The sequence below is a fragment of the Homo sapiens genome, chromosome 12, assembly GCF_000001405.40.
Source record: "Homo sapiens chromosome 12, GRCh38.p14 Primary Assembly".
Lineage (NCBI taxonomy): Eukaryota > Metazoa > Chordata > Mammalia > Primates > Hominidae > Homo > Homo sapiens.
The window spans coordinates 114,364,757-114,386,976 of NC_000012.12; the positions used below are offsets into that span (position 1 = coordinate 114,364,757).

The following is a 22,220-nucleotide window of genomic DNA, read 5'->3' on the forward strand; positions in this document are numbered from 1 at the left end:
TTGCTAACTATCAGATGCTTTAGGAAACATATCATTTACAAAGTGAGAAACTGAGGCTAGGAGAGGCTAGAACACCTGAGTGAGGTCACACAAGAAGCAGGGAGCAGAGATGAGATTCAAACCCGCATCTCTCTGTCCCCAAAGGCTGCAGTCTCCCCACCATACCATCTACAGCTCACACCAAGCAATGGTTCTATCGAGCTGAACTCCACCACACCACCTGTGCCAAACACTTCTATTCTGGCTCACAAGAAGGGCCACCAGAAAATTCTTTCTTTAGCTTAGCCCCTTTGGACTTGGATGACTTAGAAAAAAAAAAAAGCCATTTATTTCTCATGTGGCAAAGAAAACTGCGGAATGCCTCAGCTTAGTAGATTTAAATGGGGGATGAGACGGGGAAAATCATTTGTGATGTGTGTGTGTGTGTGTGTGTGTGTGTTGGTTTTGATCAGGAAAAAAAAAAAAAGAGTTCAAAATCCACCTGGGAGAAACACTGACACATATGCCAGAGAAGCATTGATAGTCACAAGGGGTTTTCCTGCATCACGGCTTGTAATACCATCAGGGACCACTCAAGCAACCTCCCTGCCTACCAGAGGGAGTGACAAAATAAACTCCATTTTATCCTTTCCAGTCAATTCTTCCTCCTTAGCAGTTAAAAATAAAATAAGGCAGTCTAGGTTCATAAAAAGATACCCAAAACACATTCTAAAGTTTAAAAGAAAAAAAACAGCAAGTTGCAAAATACATACAGTGTGATTTCATCTATATTAAAAGTTTTTAAAAAAAATTTTGGGTGTGGTGGCTCAGGCATGTAATCCCAGCACTTTGGGAAGCCAAGGCAGGTGGGTCACTTGAGCCCAGGAGGTTTAGACAAGCCTGGGCAACACAGTGAGACCCTGTCTCTACAACAACAACAAAAATTTAGTACAGTGTGTGAACGCATGCCTATAGTCCCAGCTACTAGGGAGGCTGATGTGAAAGGATCACTTAAGCCCAGGTGGTTGAGGCTGCAGTGAGCCATGACTACACCACTGCACTCCAGCCTGGGTGATAGAGCAAGATCCTGTCTCAAAAAAAAAAAAAAAAGAAAAAAAAAAGTAAAAATAAATCTAGTTCTTTCTCTGCACTCGCCACGTGTATGTGTGCATAAATGAATACAATAGGTCTGAACATTTCAAATAAGCTTTCTCCAAAGGAGGGGCTGGAACTGGGGGTAGGAACATGTCAAGGGAACTTTTTGTTTTAGCTGTTTGGTTTAAATTTCTTATCTCCATATATTTTTGTGTTGTTTACATTTTTAAATAAATAAAGTAAATAAATGAATACTCCTCACCCCCTCACCCCCAACCCAAGGAAAGGAAAAGGTAAGAAAGAAAGCAAATTGACCAGGGGTGATCACACTCACCTTTCCTCTTGGTACAATGGTAAATTTGGCTATGCTCCTGGGGCAGTGGGTATGGGTTGGGTGGAGGCAGGAGGTCCTGGGAGGGGCCGGAAACACCATTCTCACACTGGTATTGGGACCCCAAATTGGATGAGGTGGAGAGAGCTCGAGACTCGCTGCTGAAAGGACTGTGGTTGGAGGCCACTTTTTGCCTCACGGTGCTCCTGGGGACCACGGGATATTCTTTACTGAAAGAGAAAAGATGGGAGATAACGCCTATCAGTGCCCTGATACAGATTTCCTGAGTGGCTGAACCAGGTGTGAGAGAATCCACCAGAAAAGTCACAGAATAAGGAAAAAAAAGAGGTCTTTGATGAATAAAATGATCCAGTTATATTCATGTCCATCATATTTCACAAATGTATATTTGGGTACTAATTTTTCATGCCTTATACATTAGGCAAGTAGATTTACCAACAGTTCTATACCTCAGCAGAAAAGTAAATAAACACCCCCAGTTAAGAACCCCTTTTAACAATCAATAAACACACATGGTATTTTGAAATATGTCAATTTAGTCTATGTATGTCTTTAAATTCCCTAATTTGAAAGCTAGTTAATCTGAGTATTTATTTAGACTTAACCTGTGGGTGTCCATCTTTAAGGTGGGGCTCAGGTCATTGCCCAAAGTTAGTAAAAACTGGTAGCTGACAACCTAGGAAGGTCAGGTATAATCCTAAGTTACTCTCATCTGGATAGATTGCTGCTAGTGTCAGAATTTCCTCCTGAGCTTCTGTCCTTGTGGCCACTGATATACTTAACTTCTCCATACCTTAGTTTTCCCATCTGTAAAGTAGGGATAATGAATGTCCCCAGTTCAAAGGGCTGTTGATAGAAGAAACGGGTTAATGAGTTAACCATGAAAAGACTCAGAAAGGTACATGGCACAGAGTAAATGCTCAACAAATGGCAACCATCGTCATTACTGTTATTGTTTTGGGCAGAGAGAATAGAGGGAGGGAAAAAAGAGAGGGAAAGAAAATGAGAAAGAAGGAGGAACAAGGACATAGAAGATTTAAAAAGAAAGAAAGAAAAAAGAAACAAAAAAGGAAAGAAAGAAAAGAAAAGAAAAAATCAGCATGGGATCTAAGATTACGCAGCTCCCAATTCAGGCCCCATCCCTATCCCTTACAGGCTGTGTGTCCATCTGACACACAACCCTCCCCTGAGCTTCAGGGCTCACACAGGCAAAGTAAGCATAATAAAAATTCCATGACATCATAGGTATAGCATCCCTCAGTGTGCTCAAAATCTGGCCCCTCACACTCTTAGGACTGGTCCTCCACATTCCCTTACCTTCAGATTTCATACCAGGTGTTCCCATTTTTTTTCCTCAGAAGGACTCAGTAGAAACCTCTCCTGGGAAGAAGGAAAGTCGTGCTGTGCAGCAGCAGGAGGCTCAAAGGAAATGAGAGAGGTGGGGAATGGATGGGATGTGGAAGGTTGCAGAGGAGTAGAGAGAAGGTGGGGGTGGGGGTGCTTCAAGATAGAAGGGACAAAGAGAGAAATATCCAAGTATGTGAGAGAAGAAGAGCTTGACCCCTAACATCCCATATCCAGCATTTAGGATGGGGATAGGGAATCTTGGGCATGGCATTTACAAACTGCATATATTGCTAAACAGCCATTTAAAACATATTTTGGTAACTATATTTCAAATATAATTGGCTTCTCTTGTAACCTATGTATTCTATTTCATGCATTTAATCATATTATTCTTAGAGATGATTCATAGGCTTCAACACACTGCCAGAGAGGCCCATGGCATCAAACAGTTTAAGAACCCCTATCCTAGAAGGAGCATGTGTCAGTAAATCCCAAACTTCAGTCAGACACAATTTTCACCATGACATACAGCCATCTATTCTTTAACTTATGACATTTTAAAAATTAATCATTTATCTAAATAAGTTAAGCTTCACTATAAGTGATCATATCTGTGAAATTACAGGCTTGTGGTGCTAATTATAGTTATTTTAATGCAATTAAGACGAATGTTTATGTGCCTATGGTCATAGCAACTCAGGAGGCTGAGGCAAGAGGATTGCTTGAGCCCAGGAGTTTGAGGCTGCAGTGAGCTATGACTGCACCATTGCACTCCAGCCTGGGTGACAGAGTGAAACCCTGTCTCAATCAATCAATCAATCAATCAATCAATCAATGCTTAACTATTAAAATTAAAGAGTATACCTGAAATAATATCATGCGCAAAGAGCTACACGTAACGCATTTTGAAGGATCTTGAATTCGTCCATTTCATCCTTTCTATGACTCTATGTGATAGGTATTATCTTTGATCCCATTTTACAGATGAGGAAGTTGAGGCCCAGGGAGATGAAGCAACTTGTTCAAGATCACAGAGTTAGAAAGAGACACAACTAGAATTCTAATCCAATCATTTCCTCATAACTTTTGCATTGTATCCTAATGATGTCTTTCAATTTTTAGAACACAATATGCTTTTAGGGGAGCAGGGTTTTGGGGTACAAGACTCTTTCTACTTCTACCCCCTCAAGTGTGTGAACATCTCCACCCTATGTCCCTGCCTTTGTTTGTCATGTGAAAGCACACCAGAGTGGCCAGGCAGGAACACAGAGCATCTGCCAAGTTTCCATGAGTCTACAGACACCCTCAGGACACCCAGGGGTCTCCTAGCCCAGCTTCCCTGTGCCATCTCAGAACCAAAGCTGGAGCCATCCGAGCAGCCGCACCAGTCAGAATCTCCCCCTGGGGCCAGGAGGCTGAAGGGAATGGAATTAGCTTTACAGCTCTTGCTTTGTGGTTCAAGCTACGTAATGGAAAAAAAAAAGAAAAAAAGAAAAAGAAGAAAAATTATAATAACAATAAAACATTATAAAAGTTGTCAAAACTTGCCGACAATTCTATTTAGATCTATTTAGTTCCAATATTTTGCTGTCAGAGCTCCAAGAGGAAGGGGGAAATCTCTTTTGGTTTTATATTTTTAATAGGAACAGTTTTTCTTTTTAATTAAAGAAAATAACCTCCAAAAAATGTTGGCTGAGAGAGTTTACAAGAGAATGTATCAATGGACTCCGTGGAATTCTCCGTTCCAGTACAGCCAAATTGCAAAATTGCTCTCTGGAAAGGCCAAGTCCTGCTTTTGATTACTAACACAGAAGTGGGAAAAGCAATATCATCCCAATAACCACTTGTCCCTCACAGCTTGTTTCCCTCTAAAGAGCCTGAAACATCATCCCCAACACCGATCGTGAACATCTCTGTTAATGCCTGAAATACGATGTCCCCAAACCCCTCTGACAAGTGTCAAAATATGGGCATGGAATGGGGAAGTGACTTCTCAATCATTATAGAATTACACATGCAAAGGAAAGAAAATGTTAGAATCAAACAACAGCGGGGCAATTTTCACAGAGCTCATCCATGGATCAAAGGAACGGTCAACCAAAGAGACGTGGTTAGTATGACAGAAATCTCTAAAGTCCTCCAGATGAGAAGATAAAACTATTTTCTTCTACAGCTTAAGAACATCCATGAAGAAGCAAGGACACAAGAGAATTAAAGTGAAAGTTGAAAAGCCCTTCTGTCTCTAGAAATACAGGCAGCAAAAGGAGCCTGCTCTTTTTTTAATCATCATCATCATCATTCTCATCTACATTGTTCTTCAATGCCTCCTAATGTTCCAGCCACCGTACTGCTTGACTTATATGCTTATCCTGATTTGATCCTGGCAAGAACCTCATTTCACAGGTACAGTTACATTTACATTAGAGATAAGAAAATGCAGATGGGCCAGGCACGGTGGCTCACACCTGTAATTCCAGCACTTTGGGAGGCTGAGGCAGGCAGATCACTTGAGATCAGGAGTTCAAGACCAGTCTGGTCAACATGACGAAACCTTGTCTCTACTAAAAATACAAAAATTAGCTGGGCATGTACTTGGGAGGCTGAGGTAGGACAATCACTTGAACCTGGGAGGTGGAGGTTGCAATGAGCCAAGATAGCACCATTGCACTCCAGCCTGGATGACAAGAGTGAAACTCTGTCTCAGAAAAGAAAAGAAAAGAAAAGAAAAGAAAAGAAAAGAAAAGAAAAGAAAAGAAAAGAAAGAAAAGAAAAGAAAAGAAAAGAAAGAAAAGAAAAGAAAAGAGAAAAGAAAAAAGAAAAGAAAGAAAAGAAAAGGCAGGTACAGAGAGGTCAAGTGACTTGTCCCAGACCACACAGCTAAGAGGCAAAGCTGAGTCTCACCCAGGGTCAATCCTATTCCAAAACTCACGCCACCTAATACTTTAAAAAAAGCACACACACAGAAATGTATTTTCTCATAGTTCTGGAGATGTGGGTGCTAGCATGGTCAGTTTCGGGTGATGCCTGTCTTCCTCGCTTCTGATGGCCGCCTTCCCTCAGTGTCCTCACATGCCAGGCAGGGAGGGTTAGAGTGGGGGATGATCTCTCCCTCTCTCTCTCTCTCTCTCTCTCTCTATCTATCTATCTTCCTCTTTTTTATATGGCCACCATCCTGTGAGATTAAAGCCCCACACTTATGACCTCATTTAACCTTTTTTTTTCCTATCAGTTATCATGTTTATTTTTTTCACATGACATTTTAAAAATTTTTTTGTTTTGGGGGAATAGGTAGTGTTTGGTTACGTGGATTAGTTCTTTAGTGGTGACTTCTGAGATTTTCATGAACCCATCACCCGAGCAGTGTACACTGTACCCAATATATAGCCTTCTATCCCTCATACCCCTCCCGCCCTTCCTTCCAAGTCCCTATATCAAGGGGAATGGTGGAACGGGGATGAGTGATAAAAGTCCCCATAAGCCCATTATATCAGCCACCTAACTAATGCTTAATAATAAGCAATTGTTACCTCCATACCAACTACTTGGCAAATCCCACTTTATAAAGCATGCTGGTAATGAGAGAATTGGATATTGGCTCCACCCGGGCAATATCAAGATCTACTGATCTATCCTACTCTTTGCAGAAACTTTAGTTTGCAACAGTCAAATCTCACTGCTCTCTGCTGTATCAAGCAGCTACACCTGCATCCCATGGACAAGCTCTGACAAGAGTCTGGGACCCCCGACCCCAACACGAGCTGGGGGTCCTGAGTACCTCAGCTGGCCTTGGGTATCAGCGCCCACAGACCAGCTTCTCCCCAGCTCTGCCCTTCTCTCATGTTCTGTTCCACGTGAGCGAGTGCAATGAATGACGCCATTGTCGCTGGGTCTGGGTTGTAAAACGTTACAAGGGAATATTGAAATCCACGGCCAAACTGCATCCTCAGCCTCCCTCCAGCTAATGAACACCCGGGAGAACGTTTTCCACTACAGCCGACTGAATTGGCCTTTTCATGGGAGCAGGTGGCAGGGGGCGCTGGCATGTTCAGATTTTTGTGTTTTTTTTTTTTTTTTTTTCCTGGTGATCCTTACCCAATTTCTGGCAGCCTTTTTCAAACAACTAAAGCAGTGCACTGGGGCAAGGCGAGGGACTGTGAAATCCCTCTTCTCTTGGAGCAAATTCCTCTTCTCGATAGCATTTTAATCTGTGATTAAAATTAAAAAGGGGGCCACATCACCCCTTGAGAGCTTTCTTGATTTCTTAACATTCTAATTCTAATACACTTGAGGAAGTTGTTCTGATCTAACATGCACGGACACGGCAGGGACTGCAGAGGGCACACCCAAGGCTGGATTTCGCCTAGTGCAAATAGTAAATAATCACTGGCTTCTTCAAGTCTGCAAAGTGCTTACTCAGTTTACACTACACCAGCAGGAGAAGGGCGCTGGGTACCATGTTGCTGATGAGAATAAGGGGACACAATGTTCTCACTTATAAGTGGAGCTAAAGAATGTGTACAACCTGGGCGTGGACATAGAGCATGGAATAACAGACATTGGAGGCTCCGACGGGTGGGAGGTGGGTGAGGGATGAGAAATTACTTAATGGATACAATGTACACTATTAAAGTGATACTTACACTAAAAGCCCGACTTCACCACTATGCAATAGATCCAGGTATAAAAGCTACCCTTGTACTCTCTAAATTTATACAAATTTCAAAAAAGAATGGGGGTGAGGGCACAAAGAGGTTATAAAACTTTCCCATTGTCGGTTTTTTTCTTTTGTTTTTAAGACAAACTCTCACTCTGTTGTCCAGGCTGGAGTGAGGTGGCATGAACATAGCTCACGGTGACTTCAGGCTCCTGGGCTCAAGGGGTCCTCCTGCTTCAGCCTCCCAGGTAGCTGGAACTGTAGGCATGTGCCACCACACCCAGCCAATAGTTGTATTTTTTTTTTTTTTAGAGATGGGGTCTTGCTATATTGCCCAGGTTGGTTTTGATCTGGCCTCAAGTGATCCTCCCCTCTGCCTCCCAAAGCACTGGGATAATAGACATGAGCCACCTTATAAGGCCTAAATTTCCCATTGTTGACTCAACCAGGGCTATATGATTTGAGGGGTGCCAAGAAACTCAAAGGCACTTCTCTCCCTGGCCTTAAGTACCCACCACTTGTAAAAATTTTGGTTTGGGGCCTTGGGTCCCACTTGTTAAATCTGTAGATAATATAGTATCAGAGTGGTAGCATCAAGCTCAGGCTCCGATGTCAGGCCAGGTGAATGTGCCTTCCTTCAGTATCCAGGCACGAACTAGACCACTCCATTGCTGGCTAGTTTCTTCCTTTACCCAAGCCTCAGTCTTCTGTCTATAAAATGGGGATAATAAAATAGCCACCTCTTTGGGGTTATAAAATGAAATGATGCATGGAAAGGCTTAGCGAATATATATACATACACACACACACACACACACACACACACACACACACACACACTGGGGACACATTGCTCAATAAACACTATTTTGTAAATATACATTATTATATTTTGGAGCAGAGGTTCTTACCCAGCAAGGGCTTCAAATGGGTATGAATACCCAAAAATGTCAAATATTTAGAGCTGATCACTTTTTCTAGGAAGAGGTTCACATTTGCATTGGCTACTCAAAAAGGGTCTGTGATTCAAAAAACGGTTTTGACTCAAACTATAGAGATGGTTCGGAAATCATGGAGAAAAGTCCTGGGCAATTCATGACATTACCCTTTGTCTCAGTTTCCCTGTTTGCATAACGGAGAACAAGAGGCCTATCTCACAGGGCAGGTGTGGATTCTGCGGGTAAAAGCTAGATGTAAAACTACAGACAACAAAGGACAATTCAAGCTAAACTTTGTAAAACTACAGACATAAAAGGACAATTCAAGCTAAAGTTTGTTTGTTTGTGTTTGTTTTTGAGACAGTCTCGCTCTGTCGCCCAGGCTGGAGTGCAATGGTGCAATCTCAGCTCACTGCAACCTCTGCCTCTCAGGTTCAAGCGATTCTCCTGCCTCAGCCTCCCAAGTAGCTGGGACTGCAAGCACCCACCATCATGCCCAGCTAATTTTTGTATTTTTAGAAGAGGCGGGGTTTCACCATGTTGGCCAGGCTGGTCTCAAACTCCTGACCTTGTGATCCGCCCACCTCGGCCTCCCAAAGTGCTAGGATTATAGGCATGAGCCACCGCACCCAGCCTCAAGCTAAACTTTTAATGAATTTATGGTAATAATTCATCAAATAGTCTAGTACTGAACTGAACAGCCAATATTTTAGTCCAGTCTTGTAAATTAACCATTTAAACCAGCTTAACTATGACTTAGGTTTAGTCTTTTCTTTTACATGATTTTGGAACAGGGGTAGGGTGGTGAGAAGGAGTCCTCCAAGGCCTCAATCCTTCTGGAAGCTGGAATGCTACAGCTTTCTCAAACTGCTTTCTGTACCAAAGGGATTGCCTTGGGGCATCCTTTGTTCTGGGGAAAATCATGTGGAGGCCACTGATGATCCAGAAGTAAGCCAAGGACTTCCTGGTGACCTTCGCTTCTGAGGATGACCTTGGCAAAGTCACCCAAAGCAACTATTTCTGAAGGAATGATAAATGTTTTCTGTGCTAATATAAAAGTCTGCCTCCTTCCCTGTTCAGAACAACTACAAGGTAGCAGGTCTCTTGGAAAATAAAATTTTAATGTGAGGATGTTAATTAGTGGAGTTGGGTGATTGGGGGACACGGCTTAGGGTGGGGATGGACAAAGACGAGGAACTTCCTCTAGGGGAGTTGGTTTCAAGCTTGGCTGCATACCATAATCACCTGGGAAATTAAAAATAGATATGTTGACACCCAAACTCACCCCCAGGGAATTTGATGTTATAGTTCTGGGGAACAGCATGGACACTGGGAGTTTTTAAAAGCTTCCCAGGAGAAAGAAGTCTTCCACAAAGAGTATACACTGGATGATCCTATTTATATGAAATTCTATAACAGACAAAACTAACCTATAGTGAAAAAAGTCAGGACATTGATTGCCTCTGGTGAAGAGAAGGAGGCAGGGAGTGACAAGGGGGCAGGAAATGAGAGAATTTTCTGGGGTGATGGGAATGTTCTATATTTGGATAGGGGCTTGGGTTTCACAGGTATGTGCATGTGCCAAACAGTGAGAGGTGTACTTAACATTTGTACATTTCACCCTATATAAATTCAACCTAAAATACAGGAGTGTGAACAAAAATTGAGTCCTAGTTAATGATGTGCACACTGTAGTGTTTGGGGTAAAATGTACTCATGTCTGCAATTTAATTTGAAATGCATCAATAAAAAGAAGGAGGGAGGGAGAGAGGGACGGAAGGATGGCTAGATGAATGGATGGATAGGTGAGTGGATGGAGGGATATGTGGTAGAGCAAATATATAGCAAAATTTTAATTGTAGACTCTAAGCAGTGAGTACATGGGCACTCATCGTACAATTCTTCCATGTTTCTCACACGCCTTCGATTTTTCATAATAGAACACTGAGGGGAGGACTACAGGTAATTCTAATGTTCAGTGTGAGTTGAGTACTAAGTAGAGAAAAGGGTTGCCTTTTGTGTAAAATGGCCCATACATGGGCTTTGTTTGCAGAAATACAATCACGTGTTCATCTGCATTCTCTAGTGCTCACTCATTCTCTAGAACCAAGGGATTACCCAAGTGTGACCAGGGGACACCTCCATCAGAGCCACTGGAGAAAACTGTTGAAGGGCAGTTTCTGACCCATCCCTGAAGCCACTGACTCAAACCTCTGAGAGTGAGACCTAGAAATCTTTTTTAACAAGCCCCCCAGGTAATTGTGATGTCTACCAAAAGTTTGAGAAACACTGCTCAATTGTGGATGAACTCAACTCAATAGTGGTGAAAAAAATCCCATTAAAAAATGGGCAAAAGACCTGAATAGACATTTCTCAAAAGAAGACATACAAATAGATAAGAGGTATAATAAAAATGTACAACTTCATTACTCATTGAGGAAATACAAATCAAAGCCACATGAGATATATCACCTTACACCTGTTAGGATGGCTATTCTCAAAAAGACAAAAGATAACAAATGTTGGCAAGGATGTGGAGAAAAAGGAATCCTTGCACACTGCTGGTGGGAATGCAAGTTGGTGCGGCCACCATGGAACACAGTATGGAGGTTCCCAAAAAAATTAAAAATAGAACTATCAGCCAGGTGCAGTGGCCCACGTTCTGTCATCCCAGCACTTTGGGAGGCCAAGGCAGGAGGATCACTTGAGCTCAGGAGTTCAAGACTAGCCTGAGCAACATAGCAAGGTCTTGTCTCTACTGAAATTGAAAAACATTAACAAGGCATGGTGGCACGTGCCTGTAGTCCCAGCTACTTGGATGGCTGAGGTGGGAGGATTGCTTGAACCCAGGAAGTGGAAGCTGTAATGAGCCCTGATCATGACACTGCACTCCAGCCTGGGCAACAGAGTAAGACCTTATCTCAAAACAAAACAATATATAAATAACAGAAAAATAGAACTCTCATATGACCCAGGGATATATGTATATCCCTCTTCTAGATATACACCCAAAGGAAATGAAATCAGTATCTTAAAGAGATATCTACACTCCCATGATCATTGCAGCACGATTCAAAAGAGCCAACATATGGAATCAGCCTGAGTATCCATGAGTGGATGAATGGATAAAGAAAATGTGGTGTGTATATATATACACACACACACACACACTAGAATACTATTCAGCCTTAAAAATAAAGAAGGAAATCCTCTCGTTTGAGACAACATGAATGAACCTGGAGGACATTGTTAAGTGAAACAAGCCGGACACAGAAAGATCAACATGACATGACTCACTTATAGGTGTAATCTAAAATAGTCAAACCTGTAGCAGTGGAGAGGAGAATGGTGGTTGCCAGTAGCTGGGGAGAAGGGCAATGGGGAGATATAGGTCAAAGGCATTTGTTATTCAAGAGGCAGTTATTCAAGAGGCATAATTCCTGGAGAGCTAACGTACAGCAATGTGAATACAGTTAAGAGCACAGTATTGTGTACTTAAAATTAACTAAGAGGGTACATCTTAAATATTTATATATATATATTAAAATATATATATACACAAGAAAATAAAATGGTAACTATATGAGGTGCTGAATATGTTAATTAGCTTGATTATGGTAATTATCTCACATTTACGTATATTAAACTATTAAGTTGTATAACCTAAGTATATACACTTTTTGTCAATTATACCTCATTAAAGATGAGGAAAAACACAGATGGGTGAGTGAGTTTCTCCCAACCCTGTTCCTGAATAGCAGATATGCTGGGGATGGGTTAGGTGGGGGTGGGGGTACCTGAGTGGGAAAGTGGGAATGTGGCGGGGTTGGGTTCTGAGCATCCATGCCTTGACAAATAACCATGACCCAAGATGAGATCCTTTCAGAAAAACATCTCAATTTTACAGCTTCACTTAGGCTGGCTCAGCTCCCCAGACACAACCCCGCTCTTGTTTTACATAAATGCACTGCTTCCCTGGAGGAAGCCATGTGGCTAGGTAAATTACAACCCTAAGAGGGGAGTTAATGCCATCTCCAGAAGGTTGTCTAATGTTGTCTCGAAAACCACTTCTCATTAATTGGGCATTCAGATTACCTTTAACCACAAGCATGAGAACACAAGAGTGCTAAGCCTTCAGTTTGAAAAATGATCATTTGAGGTTAAGAGCTGAAAATTAATTTAAAATCAGGAAGGAAGTAATAGAAGAGGGAAGGTTCAAATAGAAGAATTTTAACCTTTTAGGAGACCTAGGCCTTATACATCCCTTGAAATTGAATTTTTTTAATTGAGACAGCATTTTGCTCTGTTGCTCAGGCTGGAATGCAGTGGCATAATCACAGCTCACTGCTGCCTCAAACTCCTGGGCTCAAGCAATCCTCCTGTCTCAGCCAAAAGAGTAACTGCAACTATAGACACAGGCTATCATGTCCAGTTAATCTTTTTTTTTTTTTTTATCTTTTTCTTTTTCTTTTTTTTTAGAGACAGGATCTTCCTACGTTGCTCTGGCTGGTCTCAAACTCCTGATCTCAAGCAATTCTCCTCCTGTCTCAGCCTCCCAAAGTGCTGAGATTACACACATGAGCCACCACACCTAGCGACTTTTTTTCTCTATTCATATATTGTGAGTCTTTCAGAGGGTCTCTTGCTTTAACTAGATTTTCAAAAGGAGTCTTGCACCCATTTTCAGAAGCCCTACCCTACAGGAACAAGGTAGAGAGGGTAAAAATAAGCACCCACAGAGGCGGGTGAGGTTGGTCAGTTCCCAATGTGGCTGTGTAGAGTCCTTTCAATAATCAAACTGGAGCTGAGTCATGGGTGGGCTTCAGTCTGGCTGAGACATCCTGGACTCCAAACTTTCCCATCCACTCTCTGGTTGGGTGGCTCAGATCCCAGTCACCAAAAGTAGAGCCTCAAGTTACCCCTTAGGTTCAGGGACCACGCCCCTGATGCCGTCTGCAGCACACTAAGAGAGCAAGGAAGTAAAGGGAGCTTCATTTCTTCCATGAAGAACTCTGAGGCCAACCAAGTCCCCCAATCCATCATCTACTTAGCCCCTGATAATGCTCCATAAATACTTCTTATGGTGAAAAGACCAGTCATTGCTCATGGTCATTCTGTGTGAGGTGAGCTAAGAAATACCGAGATGAAGGACTTTGCTATTGCTTGTTCATATTCTGGGGTTTATGGTTACAAGAAGATGAGCAGAAGCCCAGTTTAGTGGAAAGGGGGTTCTCTCCATCCTGAAGAAAGCAAGCTTGCAGCCAGGCAGGCCCCTTCATCCAAACTGTGTGACCTTGGGCAAGTCAACCTGGCATCTGGCTTCAACAGAACATGGACCGTGTCTTAACACCTACCAGCGATCGAGCGTCCCTCTGGGCCAGACACTGTGCTGTGTGCTTCCATGCCTGCTGAGGCAGTTTTAAAATGCGTCGACGAATTCCTTGACACTCCTTCTAGGTAGAAGAGAGAACTTGTCCTCCCTTCTTGAACCTGTTTTCTGTTTTGTTTTGTTTGTTTTGTTTTGTTTTTTTCGAGACGGAGTTTCACTCTTGTTGCCCAGGCTGGAGTGCAGTGGCACGATCTGGGCTCACTGCAACCTCTACCTCTGGGGTTCAAGCAATGCTCCCACCTCAGACTCCCAAGTAGCTGGGATTACAGGTGAGCACCACCACACCCAGCTAATTTTTTGTATTTTTAGTAGAGACGGGGTTTCACCATGTTGTCCAGGCTGGTCTCAAACTCCCTGAATCTGAACCCACCTGAGTGAGTCACATTCAACCAAAAGAATGCAGCAGAAGTGACACTACCTGACATCCAAGGTGCAGTCAGCAAGGACCAGGTGGCTTCCACTTCCGTGAGAAAGTCTGAACACCCTGAGTCTGCCAAGCTAGAGAGGCCACATTCTGATTTTTCAGTGGACAACAGCTGAGGTCCCATCCAAAAGCAGCATCAACTGTGGGTCACAGGAGTGTGCCAAGCTGGACATCCTGCCTGACCTGCCTTCCGTTACCGGTAGCCCAGCCACCATCTGATGGTCAGCAAGAACTGCACAGCTGAGTCCTTCCAAATAGCATGACCCACCAATCACAGACAAAATAAAAGTGCCTCCCTGGTGCTTCCTGCTTCCCCTTGCACACAACGGCGACCAGCAAAGGCCTGGTCTTTTCACCACAAGCAGCATTTATGGGACATTACTGGGGGCTAGCAGATTGCAACTGTAGGGAACTTGGGGACTTTGATGGTCTGGGAGCTCTTTGTGGAAGTGTATACTTCCTTCCTCTGCTAGAAGACTCCCAATGTGTTGTTGGGGAAAGTTGTCGCAGGTGAGCCACTTTGGCTGGCCTGGATTTAACATCACACACAGAGAACAGATGGGATAGTTTGGAAGCCAGGTTGTCCCAGCCAGCCCAGCTTAAGCTTGGGAGTCATTTGTTATGCAGCAATAATAATCAGTACACACACGTTACCTCATTTCATCCTTGCAACAGGCCTGGAGGTAGGCTCTGTAATGACTTCCTTTTTACAGATGAGGAAACAGACACTCCTCGGTCGAGTAGAAAAGCCCTGGAGCTGCTCAGCGCGGCAGCCTGGACCCCAGCTCCTGGGCCTGTTTCCATCCATGGACCCTGGTCCCCTGTGTGTTGATTCATCCTTGTATGCCTAGTGCTTGGCATACAGCAAACACTTAACAAATGTTTTAGTTGCATAAACAAATCAACAGATCAAAAGCTGAATAAGTAAATGAGTCTCTGGGCCTCAGTTTCCCATTCTGCAAAAGAGAGCAGGTGGATCAGATGCTGTCTCCTGGAATCCCTTCTATCTCTACAATTCCACACTTCTAGGAGCAGCTCTCCTCATACCTGTCATAGAGTCACTCCAGCTGGCTTTCAGAGATCTTCAGAATCTGACCCCTACTCCAGCCCCCTAGACTTTTAGACCCTTGCCCACTTCTTCCTTGCTTCAGCCCAGAAAACCCTTCTTCCCAACAGATTCAGGTCCCATTCTCTCTACGAGGTCTACTTTTACCCTCTCCATAAAGCCTACTCTGCCCCAGTCCCAGCTCCAGCCCCTTTGGCTCCTAGGAAGTTCAGAACTTGTTTGAATACATCTTGAAGACTGAAGCAAAGTCCAAAGAAAGAGTTGTTCTATAAAAAACCAGGGCCTAGATGGTTTCAAACAGCAATGGCACTCTCAAGCCTTTCTTTGTAGGTGGTTGAGCTTTTATGTGTGTTTCTCAAATTTCTGTGCTTTGCATATTATCTTGACAATGTTCCCCAAACCTTGATACGAGCCGTTCTGCTATTCAGTTAATATTTCCTCTTTAATCAGCCTTAACTCCCCTCCCTTCCTTGCTTCCTTCTTTTCTTCCTTTCTTAGAACTCAGTCTCATTCTGAGCAATAACATCTATGAAATCACAGGACTGATGTGTCCATGGGTCTGTGCACCATCTAAAACCTGTAATTCCCATGATTTAGAAGGCCAGGACATGAGGATTGCTTGAGACCAGGAGTTTGAAACCAACCTGGGCAACATAGTGAGATTCCGTCGCTACAAAAAATTAGCTGGGCATGGTGGTATGCACCTGTAGTCCAGCTACTTCAGACGCTAAGGCAGGAGGATTGCTGGAGCTCAGGAGTTCGAGGCTGCAGTGAGCTATGATTGTGCCACTTCATGCCAGCCTGGATGGCAGGGAAAGACCCTGTCCTAAATAAATAAATAGTTTTTATTAAAAAAAAAACTCCTTTGTCACCAATCTAAGGGTTCTTCAATTTGGGGAAATATTAGTTTTTAGGATTAGATTTTTTTTAAGACACAGATTGATTAACCTTTCTAAATAAACTTGGCACACCCTTTAATTGGTCTGCTTGAGACAGGATGTTTAAATGACTTTATGCTTTGTGCTTTCCCATAGCTCCCAAATTTTTATAATAAGCAGTGATTGCTCCTGTAACTAGAAACCATTAAAAAATGTTGGAAAATAAAGAAGACATCATCTGCGTTTTCCAAACACAGGGAGTTGGGCCAAGAGGTAGATGGGGGAACAGCCAGACATTTGCCAAGCAAATCCAAAAGTTATTTCTGTGGAATAAGTGCAAGGTAATGCTTAACTCTCTGTAATCCCACCTCACTCCCTTCTACCAATTGTTGGAATTAGAGGATATTTCATCCCTCCTGCTTTTCTCCCATAGCCAGCTGTCACCGGGTGTGTAGGGGACAGGAAACAGAATTACAAGATTAGCAGTGAGCCTGCCGTTCCTGCCTGGCTGTTATCAAGGCTGACTCTGGAGAGCCATATTCCCCACTTGTCACTACTGACTGCAACCTGGGGGTTGGGAGAATGACCCAAAATAAATTCTGAACAAGGGCAAAATTGGGAGTACTGGGGAGCTTTCCTCCAAATTAGTTAAATTTTACTGAACATATAGACTAGGAATCAAGCACTCTATAGGCATTTGCTCATATAATTTTTACAGGAACCCTAGAAAGTAGAGGCTATACTTATCTATGCCCCTCCTGCAGATGAGAATACTGAGGTTCCATGAGGTTAAATCACTTACCCCAGGGCTCATACTGATAAATGTAGAACAAGAATTGACCCCAGGTTTGTCTGACTCCAAAGCCTTCTGTGGGAACCACTCTTCTTCACTCTTTCTCCTTCCCCAAGGACATGTCCAGAGACCTTGGCCAATGACCTCATCTACTCCCCCAACTTCATCAGTGGTTAGTTCAGCCCTCTGGTTTCCAGGGCAACTGCTAACATGGCCACAAAGACACACATGGCTCTTAGGCTGAGAGGTTTGACTCAACATGTCAATTACTGACTTTCTACCAATGACTAGCCACACTTTTCCTCCATTCCATCTGCAAAGTTCCTACCCATCAAGGACACCTAGTCCAGGCCTCAAGCAATCTGCAATACCTTGACAGATGGTTAGGACAGCCAATTCAGGCCAAAGAAGAGTCATCTGCCTAAATATATAAACAGTTGTGTGACCAGCCTGGGCAACCTGGGGAGATCCTGCCTCTACAAAAATACAAAAATTAGCTGGATGCGGTGCTGTGTGCCTGGACACCCAGCTCCTTGGGAGGCTGAAGCCAGAAGACCACCTGAGCCTGGAAGGTTGAGGCTGCAGTGAGTCATGATCGCACCACTGCCCTCCAGCCTGGGCAACAGAGCGAGGCCCTGTCTCAATCAATCAATCAATCAATAAGTAAGTACACAAACAAATGAACATGTGTTTAGAACTTTAGGAGAGTTGGCCAGGGGCTGTGGGTAATGTCTGTAATCCCAGCACTTTGGGAGCCTGAGGCAGGTAGATCACTTGAGTCCAGGGGTTCTAGGCCAGCCTAGGCAGCATGGTGAAACCCTGTCTCTACAAAAAATACAAATTTAGGCTAGGCGTGGTGGCTCACGCCTGTAATCCCAGCACTTTGGGAGGCCGAGGCGGGTGGATTGCCTGAGGTCAGGAGTTTGAGACCAGCCTGGCCAACATGGTGAACTCCGTCTCTACTAAAACACGAAAATTAGCCAGGCGTGGTGGTGAACGCCTGTAATTCCAGCTACTCAGGAGGCTGAGGGAGGAGACTCTCTTGAACCCGGGAGGCCAAGGTTGCAGTGAGCGGAGATCGTGCCACTGCACTCCAGCCTGGATGACAGAGGGAGATTCCGCCTCAAAAAAGTAATAATAATAAAATAAAAACATACAAATTTAGTTGGGTATGGCAGTGCATGCCTGCAGTCCCAGGTACTTGGGAGGTGGGAGGATCATCTGAGCCTGTGGATGTCAGGGCTGCAGAGACCTGAGATCGTGCCACTGCACTCCAGCCTGAGCGACAGAGTGAGACCCTGTCTCCAAAAAAAAAAAAAAAAAAGAGCTTTTAGAAAAGACTCCCTTGATGACTGACATCTGACATCTGAGCTCTCACACACCTGCACATGCCCACCTGTCTCTACTTTCATAGCTGGCTGTCATCTGTCCAATCATCTTCCAAAGTTCCAGGCCTGGGTCGGACACAGAAAAGCCTGGAGGGCAACTGGTAAAGTTTGAGGGGCTGATTCCCAGGAGGGGTCCTGGGGGAGACATGGGCTGACCACACAGTCTATGGCCAGGGAAAGCTTCTTGAAGGAAGGAAAAGCTACAAGGAGACTCAGTGATGGTTGGGAGATGGCCTGGTGAGAAGGAGGGAAAAGAGTTTGACACAGACGAAATGTGTGTTCGAAGGGCCAAAAATAAAGGAAAGAACACAGGTTTGAAGCCTTTCCTTTAGCATGATTGACACATATTAGGGGGACACTGGTGAAGGACAAACCTAGGGGGGTGGCCAGGCCAGATGGGAAGGTCATGGCTAACCAGGCAAAAGAGTCCAAACCTTATAGTGATGGCAACAGGAGACTTGGACATGTTCTCCACTGCAAAGAGAACTTGCCTGATTTGTGTTTTACAAAGATCTCTTTGGTGGCTGCCTAAAGAAAGTCCCTGGAGGAGACCAGAACTGAATTTGGGTCTCCATTAGTTAGGAGGCTGGTGGTGGCTAGAATTAGCACCCTGGCAGAAGGGGGCTGAATTCCGAGTTATGCTGGAAGGTATAATCAGTAGGAGGTGGTAACTGGTAAAGTTTGAAGGGATGATTCAACACACCTTAAATCTATTATTCACCCCCTGCCCTTGACCTTGTAAAAAGGAGGGAAGAAGTAAGAGATGATGAAACCCTTTGATTGCAGGTGGGAATGGGTGATCTCCCTTCAGCTCCCACCTGCACAGCAGGAACTTTGCCTGTAGGACTGAGAGGTGACTTTGTGTGGCAATGACTAAGCCACCTTAACGGCAAATCACCATCAGAATGGGATAGGAACAGAAAGTTGGCACTCTGAGCCCAGGGCCGTGAATTATTGAACCTCTTTCAGCTAAAACATGATATTTGTTGTCATCTTTTCCACTGACCCTATGGCCCAATCAATTTCAAAATGTAGATGCTTAAAACCAAAAATAAATTTTAAATAACAAACTCAGAACTTGCCTATTTTAGCCACAAAAAGTACCTTGTGAGTCCACAATCTTGAAGGAAACCAATTTATGAAAACAGGAATGTGTGCACAGATGTACCACACTCCTTGTTTTTTTAATGTTTGGAAACAGGGTCATTCTCTTGTTTTTTTTTTTTAATATTTGGAGACAGGGTCTTGCTATGTTGTCCCAACTGCAGTGCAGTAGTGTGATCATAGCTCACTGCAGCCTCAAATTCCTGGGTTCAAGAAATCCTCCTGCCTCGGCCTTCTGAGTAGCTGGGGCTGCAGGAACATGCCACCTGGGCTAGCATTATTTTTTAAAAAGCTTGCAAAATTTGACCTGATAAGCCCGCTATCTAAAAACAATTTTTCCATTGCATGTATTTCTAAACCTAATATTAAAACCACAGATTTAAGGTCTTTCTCCCTTTATGTTCTTAGGTCTCTTATCTTTCTTTGAATGAATATATCTGTCTATCTGCCTGACTCTCCCTTTTCACATCTTCCAGAAAGGATAAGGAAAACATCCAAAAGGATCTCATTTTATTTTGAAACACTAAACCCACCAAACAGAAAAAAAGAAAACACACACACACACACACACACACACACACAACACACACACACAAACCTTCTTGGTCAGAGGGATCAAGATGTATTTCTAATTCGCTTGCCATATGGTAAGTTATTTTGGAAGCACATCAAGAGGTAGAGAGAATGTTCCACAAAATTGGCAATGCTTGTACAATCCTTTCAAATCAGACCAAATTCCCACTATGTACATTTGCTACAGCCCGTTCTATTCATCATATCAGCAACTATGACCACAGGATATGTAAAAATACCGAGCAATTTTTAGCACCAGCTTCCAATCCTCCAGTGCCCTGGACACCACATGGTGTCAAGTTTGTCTGTATTTCACCCTCAGGAAATCAAGTCATTAACTTCTCTTTCATTTACCAAGAGCTGTTGCCAAAAAAAAAAAAAAGCATTCATCGGCTGTGACTTATGGGAAGAAAAAGAGAAAGGGTTTCCCTACAGGGAGAGAGACAGCAGAGAAAGAAGAGAAAGCTGTGCCTTTTGTTCCCTGGGAGAATGGAGAATGCCGAACTCTTCGTACCTTCTCTCCACTAGAAAATGTATTCTCCAGGTTGCCCAATGGCGCCAACCACATGTGAAGGTTATCAGAAAATGGGACAGAGGGGGCTCATTCTCCCCATTTCCATGTGCCTGGCATTCTACGGGCAGGAAGGCTGGTGGAGGGAGGTGCTGGGTTGCTGCTGGCTTACCTGGGTAATTTGAGGGGTATGTGGGGAGGAGAAAGTTGAGGAATCCACTTTCCTACCTTTGCATTCTTGACATTCTGTGCAGCTCCATGTCATCACTGCCCCGAAATCCTTTGGCAAAGGGATTATTCTCAATCTTTAATTGCGTGATCTGAAGGAAAGAGGAAGAGAGAACAAGCTGGTTTTCACTTGATTGCTGCAAGACCACCTCAGGACATGAGCTAATAATAAATATCATGGAAATGCAGCCTCTGGCAACCAAAAGAAGCAAATTAAGCCAGTCACGTCAACGGGACCCACCACTTCATTCAAGTGGAGGCTTTGAAAAATGTCCTCCATTGGACTGCTTTTAAAAGGGGAAAAACACCTGGGTTTGGTTTGCCCATTAATTGGAGTCATACTCTGCATCATTCCAGCTGGGTTCTTTTTTTTTTTTTTCCAATCTTGCATTTTGTGTTTTAAACACCATCTAGGCCTCAATACTCAGTACTCCCTCCCCTTTGGAAAGCTGTGCATGTTGACATGATCGTTGCACATCAGGCAGCGTAGTCATCTCCATTGGAAGGGTTGACCCCATCGTGTGTTTCTGCAGAAAACATGTCTTGATTATTGCATTCAAAAATTCTATTATGCCTCATTTCATGTTCATTTCATAGTTTTGCAGATAGCGTTTCCTAGTTCTGGTGGAAAATGGTGCCTAATGAAATAAACGCCAATATACATAATGATAACTTATATAATAGCTATTGAACAGCACCAAACCTCTTTAATGTCCTAAGCAAAGAAGAGAGGTTTCTCTCTTGGAAATCTGTGTTGCAACATACAAGGCATAGTTACAGAACAGGGTCTTTTTGCACGTTTTGGTTCCAGGCCCAGAACTTTAATTTAATCCATCAACGCATTATATTAGTGTGAATGTACAGTAGCAGACCCAGGTGACAGAAGGCAACCATACGGAGTTTGCCAGAAGTATTTCCTAAAAATTGCGTGTGAACTGAATTTTCATAGAGAACATAGAGAATCATGTTATAGACATGAGAGCAGCATGACTCAAACTTCAGTCATTCAAGGTTTTCTTTCACTATTATTGCCATATCTATACAGCACCTGTACACTGGCTTAATATTTTTATTTAAATCAAACCACTTTTAATTTGCACTTATTTCACACAAATATGATATCACTTCTTTGTATGACAAACTAGAATCACTTGCTACTCAATAAGAAGAAAATAAATATATGTAATTGTCTTTACTCATATCCAAAGCTTGCCTTCTCTTTGTTGCAAGTGGAAATTAGACACTTTTAGAGAACTAGTTAACACAAACCAGTACTGAACTGAGACTCCCTCTCTAATAGAAGACTAGAAAGATAATTTTAAAAAGAACAACTTTCAGCCAGCCATGGTGGCTCATGCCTGTAATCCCAGCACTTTGGGAAGCCAAGGTGGGTGGATAACTTGAGATCAGAAGTTCAAGACCAGCCTGGCCAACATGGTAAAACCCCATCTCTACAAAAAATACAAAATTTAAAAAAAAAAATAGCCTGGCATGATGGCAG

At 43.2% G+C, this 22,220-nt stretch overlaps 1 protein-coding gene across 4 annotated transcripts in view; it reads right to left on the minus strand.

The window, feature by feature from the left end:
• TBX5 (T-box transcription factor 5) overlaps positions 1-22,220 on the minus strand; it is a 54,532-nt gene that overhangs the window by 10,846 nt on the left and 21,466 nt on the right. For all 4 annotated transcript variants that reach the window (NM_080717.4, XM_017019912.2, NM_181486.4 and 1 more), the window contains 2 exons: positions 20,720-20,811; positions 1,409-1,635 (listed from right to left, as the gene is read on the minus strand). In NM_080717.4, coding sequence (NP_542448.1) covers positions 1,409-1,635; positions 20,720-20,811 — 319 coding nt within the window. The remainder of the gene's footprint in view (positions 1-1,408; positions 1,636-20,719; positions 20,812-22,220) is intronic.